At 41.0% G+C, this 6,840-nt stretch overlaps 1 annotated feature.

Annotated features, from left to right (window-relative positions):
* Positions 4,318–4,911: an enhancer, noted in NCBI's record as "OCT4-NANOG-H3K27ac hESC enhancer chr17:53947369-53947962 (GRCh37/hg19 assembly coordinates)". NCBI's record gives its function as "activates a minimal SCP1, AML or CMV promoter by ChIP-STARR-seq in primed H9 embryonic stem cells {active_cell/tissue: H9 hESC(primed)}" and the evidence as "EXISTENCE:reporter gene assay evidence [ECO:0000049][PMID:30033119]".

A 6,840-nucleotide genomic window follows, 5' to 3' on the forward strand; every position in this document is an offset into this window, starting at 1 on the left:
TATTAAAAAGACCTCAAAGACTTATATTTGTAACTCAGACTAATTTTATCCAATATGATACTATTTGAAGTGATAATTTTGTTTTTAAGCCAGATCAGAAAAGCTAGAGAAATGTTATAGAAGGGAATATGGTGTCTTTTCCTTTTTTTTTTTTTTTTTTTTTTAACTTTCTGAGCTCTAAGGTATAAAGACACATTATGCCCTGGAGCTCAGAAAGTAAAGAAAAGGAAACCTATCACTGGCCCTGTAGAGTTACTAGGTTCTAGTGGTTAAGAATGTAAGTTTCATCATTGTAAAGACTTATGCTGAGTTCCAGCCCTGCCCTCACTACCTGTGAAATCTTAGGCAGCTTATTTAACCTCATTAAGCCACAATCTCTCCATCCTTCAAATGCAGATGGCACCAGGATCTATGTCACAGGGTTGCTAAGGGGATTAACGTATATAATGTGCTTAGCTGGATGCCTGGAACATAGTTGTGTGCATGAAGTAATGCCATTGTATGTTTAACAGGTAAGAATCTTGGTCCACAGAGTCAGTTGATAAGAATTGTAATTTATCTATTTTTATGTGACTCCATTTAATTTCTCTTAATAGTACATATTCTACCATTTGACAAAAGATAAATTCAAGTCAATTCAGTCCCCACCCAACTTCCTTTCCTTCAAGTTGCATCTGCTTTCTAGGGACTTGTGTGGTGCATTGGAATGGTGTTTGGGGATACTTCATTAGTTCTATGTCATTAACAGGTCTACACTGGTATCCACTGAGAAAGACATAATTGTGACTATCCTTTGGTCATGGGTCAAGCAGGTCACTGTTATATTATTCTAAACCATAAGATCACTTTAAGTTAGACTTTGTCTCATCTGCTTCTTTACCACCCGTGAGGACACAGGGGAAATTCTGCTGCTGTCCTAGACTTCTCTAAATCAAGGGAATGCATTGGGTTTGTTTAAGAGCCTTCCTCTGTGGTTTCCTGGAAACAGAGGAAATTGTTCCACTGCCTCCAGCTTCTCACTGGTATATGTGGGGACTCTGGGGATCTGCCTCAATCCATTGTGCACATAGGTAGCATGCCTGATATGGCTTGACTGTGTCCCTACCCAAATCTCATCTTGAATTGTAGCTCCCATAATCCCCTTGTGTTGGGGATTATGAGGGACTGGTGGGAGGTAATTGAATCAAGGGGGCAGGTTTTTTTCCATGCTGTTCTTTCATGATGGTGAATAAATTTCACGTGATCTGATGGCTTTATAAAAACAGTTTTCCTGCACATGCCCTCTTGCCTGCTGCCATGTAAGATGTGCCTTTGCTACTCCTTTGTCTTCTGCCATGATTGTGAGTCCTTCCCAGCCATGTGAAACTGTGAGTCCATTAAAGCTCTTTTTCTTTATAAATCCACCTAGTCTTGTTTATGTCTTGGCTTGTAATTGATATAAATGGATAAGCCAAAGAAGAAGATAAAATAAAATCATAAACAATGTTCAACTAACCCAAGAGAAGTCGCAAAAATAAGGAAGCAGAAAGAAAAAAAAATGAACGCAATATTAAATTGGTGCAAAAGGCATTGTGTTTTTTGCAGTTATTAATAAAAGTAATATGGCAGGCATTGTATCCTAGGGGATCATAGATATGGTCTTCTCTTCCTCCTCTTACAGCTGTAGCCTGGACTCCACACTATTCCTGTTTTTCTTGTACATATAGGAGTTTTTCTTTCTAAATCCTTCCCCAATATGCAGTAGGTTTTCATTAATGCTCCAAAGGCAATGATGTAAGGATGTAAAAGTAATTAAAGTCAGAAAAGAGCTGACAAGATAGAAGATATTAACTCAATATGTTAATATCACTCTTAATATCAATATATTGAATTTTAAAATTAAAATTCAGAGATTGTCAGAATGGGCAAGAAACAAGACCCCATACTGCCTACAGGAAACTTAATTTAAACATATGCAGATTAAAAATAAAGTGCTAAAAATGATATACCATGCAGACATTAATGAAAAAGTGGGAATAATTATTAATAATATAAAGCAAAGTAGCATTCAAAGCAAGACATATTATTAGGAATAAAGAAAAATACTAGGTAATGATAGACAGGTCAATTCTCTAAGAAAATATAAAAGTCTTCAATATGTGTGTACCCAGCAATAAAGTTTCAAAATTCATAAAGCAAATACAGACTTGAAAGAATAGTGAAATCCATGTTAGGCTAAACTAATTGCACGCTGATGGCTCTATTATTTTTTTAAAAAATGCCCTGGGGCATAAATTTATTCCATGGCTTAATCCAATTAAGGTTGGGGAAGGGTAAGTTTCAGTGCCCATCTTTGAATGTTTTCTGACACCAGGAGGGTTCTAAACTGTCTTTCCCTCTGGTTCTCTCTAGTGAACCAGCTGGCCTATGGTTTAGCTTGTCACTCTTAATTCAGAGAAACTATTGTTTTGAAGCTTAGGTTTACACTTCCCACATTTTGTTTCAAACAGTCAGTTTCTTTGAGAAGAGATCTGAAGCTCTCTGCTCTTATGGACTGCCTGTTGCCCTGGACAGACATCTCTGATCCACTATGTTAGGTATTTGGTAGGGCAATAGCCTCTGGTCTACTTGTCTTACTTCTTTCAATGTGAAACTTCTGCACTCTGAGTGAGCTGGAATGAAAGTGATCAGGGGCCCATCATTATTGGTATTCCATGCTCGGGGGAAAACTTTCATCCTATGCATGAAGGCTGGGTGGGAAAAGGAAGGGAAACCCAGATCTTTAGGGCATATTCACCAAGAATTTAATCTCTGCATTTTGGAGTTGGGTGAGGGATAAGTAAAATTTGTGGCCTGGCCTTCTCAGTGAGATACTTGTGTCAGGCAGTTCTTGCAATGTTATATAAAATATGCTTTGTAAATGGGTAATTTACAAAGAAAAGAGATTTAATTGTCTCACAATTCTTCAGGCTGTACAGGAAACATGGCACTGGCATCTTCTCAGCTTCTGGGGAGGCCTCAGGGAGCTTTTACTCATGGCAAAAGGTAAAGTGGGAGCAGATATTTCACATGGCAGAGCAGAAGAAAGAGAGAGAGTAGGGGTGGGGAGGTGCCACACACTTTTAAATGAGCAGATCTTGTATGGACTCAGAGTAAGAACTCACTTATCACCAAAAGGATGGGCCAAGTCATTTATGAGAAATCCATCCCCATGATCCAAACACCTCCCACTAGATCCACATCTAACATTGGGGATTACATTTCAACATGACATTTGGGTAGGGACAAATATCCAAACTACATCATTCTATCCCTGGCTCCTTCAAATCTCATATCCTTTTCATATTGCAAAATACAATCATGTCTTCCCAACAGTCCCCCAAAGTTTTAACTCATTCCAGCTTTAACTCAAAAGTCCAAAGTCTCGGCCAGGCGCGGTGGCTCACACCTGTAATCCCAGCACTTTGGGAGGCCGAGGCGGGTAGATCACGAGGTCAGGAGATCAAGACCATCCTGGCTAACACAGTGAAACCCCGTCTCTACTAAAAAATAGAAAAAATTAGCCGGGCATGGTGGCGGGTGCCTGTAGTCCCAGCTACTCAGGAGGCTGAGGCTGGAGAATGGCGTGAACCCAGGAGGCGGAGCTTGCAGTGAGCCAAGATTGCGCCACTACACTCCAGCCTGGGCGACAAAGCAAGACTCCATCTCAAAAAAAAAAAAAAAAGTCCAAAGTCTAGTTTGAGACAAGGCAAGTCCCTTCCACTTATGAGCCTATAAAATCAAAAACAAATTATTTACTCCCAAGATAAAATGAAAGTATAGGAATTGGGTAAACATTTCCATTCCAAAGGAAAGAAATCAGCCAAAACAAAGGGGCTAAAGTTCCCAAGAAAGTTCAAAACCCAGCAGGGCAGCTATTAAATTGTAAAGCTTCAAAATAATCTCCTTTGACTTCATGTCCCACACCAAGGGCACACTTCCGTGAGGGATGGACTCCAAAGGCCTTGGAAGGTTCTGCCCCTGTGGCTTTGCAGGGTTCAGCCCCCACAGCTGTTCTCACAGGTTGTTGAGTGCTTCTGGCTTTTCCAGATGCAGGGTGCAAGCTGACAGTGGATCTTTCATTTTGGAGTCTGGAGGACAAAGGCCCCCCTTCCCACAGCTTCACTTGGTAGTGCCCCAGTGTAGACTCTGTGTGGGACATCCAACCCCACGCTTTCCCTTCATACTGCTCTAGTGGAGGTTCTCTGTGGGGGCTCCTGCCTTGCAGCAGGATTCTGCCTGGGCACCCGCTTTATTATACCTCCTGTAAAATCTAGGTGGAGGCCACCAAGCCTTTACTTTTGCTCTCTGTGCACCAGGAGGCTTAACATCACATGGAAGCTGCTAAGGCTTATGGTTTGTATTCTCTTAAAGTGGCAGTTTGAGCTATACTGGGGCCCCTTTGAGCCCTGGCTGGAGTTGGAGAGGCAAGGATGTGGGAAGCAGTGTCCTGAGGCTGTGCAAGGCAGTGGGGCCCTGGGCCTGGCCCACAAAACCATTCTTCCCTCCTAGGCATATGAGCCCATGGTGGAAGGGGCTGCCTTGAAGTTCTCTGAAATACCTTTGAGGCCTTTTCCCTATTGTCTTGTCTATTAGCACTTGGCTGTCTTTTAGTTATGCAAATATCTCTAGCAAGTGGTTGCTCCACTGCCCACTTGAATTCTTTTTTTTTTTTTTTTGAGACAGAGTTTCACTCTTGTCACCCAGCTGGAGTGCAATGGCTCCATCTTGGCTCACTGTAACCTCCACCTCCAAGGTTCAAGAGATTCTCCTGCCTCAGCCTCCCAAGTAGGTGGGATTACAGGTGACTGTCACCATGCTCAGCTCATTTTTGTATTTTTAGTAGAGATGGAGTTTTACCATGTTGGCTAGGCTGGTCTCAAACTGCTGACCTCAGGTGATCCACCTGCCTCAGCCTCCCAAAGTGCTGGGATTACAGGCGTGAGCCACTGTGCCTGGCCAAATTCTTCTCCAGAAAAACTTTTTTTTCTCTGCCACATGGCCATGTTGTAAATTTTCCAACCTTTAATGCTCTCTTATGCACTTTTATTAAAAGTAATGGCAAAAACCACAATTAGTTTTGCACCAACCTAATATAAAGAAAAGAGGTTTGATTGGCTCAAGGTTCTGCAGGTTGTACAGGAAACATGGCACTGGCATCTGCTCAGCTTCTGGGGAGGACATTGGCTCCAATGCAATGCCTCACTTGTCTTACTGAGTTTTAGTAGATTTTCTTGTGTAAATGCTTATTTATTTCTACAAGACTTTAGGATAACTTCCAGACACTTTAAACGGTTGGCGATAGTCAGATAGGTAGATAAATAGATAGATAAAATACATCTATATACTATCTATTTCTCCCTGTCTCTGTCTTTCTCTCCAAATATGTATCAATCAATTATGCATATTTCTCTGGGGAGTGGTTTTGCAGACTCTTGACTGGGACCTAAGGGAAGAGAGACTCCTCATACTGTCATCCTGGTGAAATTTGTAATGGCTTTTGATAGAAATTATGTTTGAGCATATGCCAGGGTAGAAACAGAGAACCATCTACCCTTTATAGAGTTGAGTAGAGGCAGGAAGTCAGAGCCAGAGGTAATTGTAAAAATATTAGTTCCCTGGGAGTTTATGGAAATCTTGGGAGAGCATTAGAATCTCCAGGATATGAGATAGGGATGTAGAAGAAGAATCAACTTCACCCATTCCTTCCTAGGTTTCAGCACAGAAGAGTCTCTGGCTTAGTGGGAAGATTATAGCTTTGAGATATACGCCATTACCTTGGAGGCAGATTCCACAAAGAATATGCCAGAAAGACAGTTGAACCGAACCTTTGTACAACTCTCTGGCTGCATAACTTCTCCCCTTAGACCAAAAAAGGAAAGCCCCTATGAACTGAGGAACTGGTATTTATCTCTGGTTTGGCAAGGAGTGAATTGTACACAGCCTAGGAAGAATTTCCCATTAAACTTAGTTTCTGCATTTTAAAACCCTTCAGAAAAGCTTAAGTATAAGCTTATTTCTTACACTTAAAAAGTAGGCTTTTCAAACTGAAAAGACAAGTCCAAACTGGTCCCTTTTATCAGACAGGTCTGTATCTGGGGGTGGTTTCAGCTTCAGCAAGACTGATTTTAGGGGTAAAATGGACGCTTTCAGGAAGCTAATAGAAACTCTTGGGGAAAGAGGGCAAAGATCTAATTGCTTTGTTCACAGTTCTGTAATTTTGTTGGAGCTCTGTGGTTGTTCACACCCTTGTGCCACATTAATAATTATTGGGCCATATTATTAAACCAATTTCAGCTCTTGGGAGACCAAAGTGTTCCTTGGCAGCACTGGCCAATATGAAAAACAATATCAAAATGTTAACACTGGAAGAGCTTGGAGTCCTTCTAGAATCAATGTTTTCAACCCACATTCTGTAGAGCCCAAAGGTTCTGAAGAGAGACTTAGGTGTGAGGAGAACTAGGGGGAAGCTGAGGAAATAGTCCAATAAAACCTCTCATCCCTTCAACCAGAGCAGTTCTACCTATTTGTTTTATGTTTTGCTGGGATTCCATATGAGATTTTGTTTAATATAAACTAGTACTTTTCTGCCTTAGAAAAAAGCCCACGATGGCAACTACTGATCCAGTTCAGATGTTGGCAAACATTCTTTGTAAAGATCCAGAAAGTAAATATTTTAGACTTCAGGACCACATATTCCCATCACATATTCTTTTTTTTTTAAATCATTTTAAAAAAAGTAAAAACCATTCTCACCTTGCAGGTCACATGCAAATAGGGCAGAGGAATGACCTAGTTTGACTATGCCGTTATTTTAGGTGA

This window comes from Homo sapiens, chromosome 17 (genome assembly GCF_000001405.40).
Source record: "Homo sapiens chromosome 17, GRCh38.p14 Primary Assembly".
Taxonomy (NCBI): domain Eukaryota; kingdom Metazoa; phylum Chordata; class Mammalia; order Primates; family Hominidae; genus Homo; species Homo sapiens.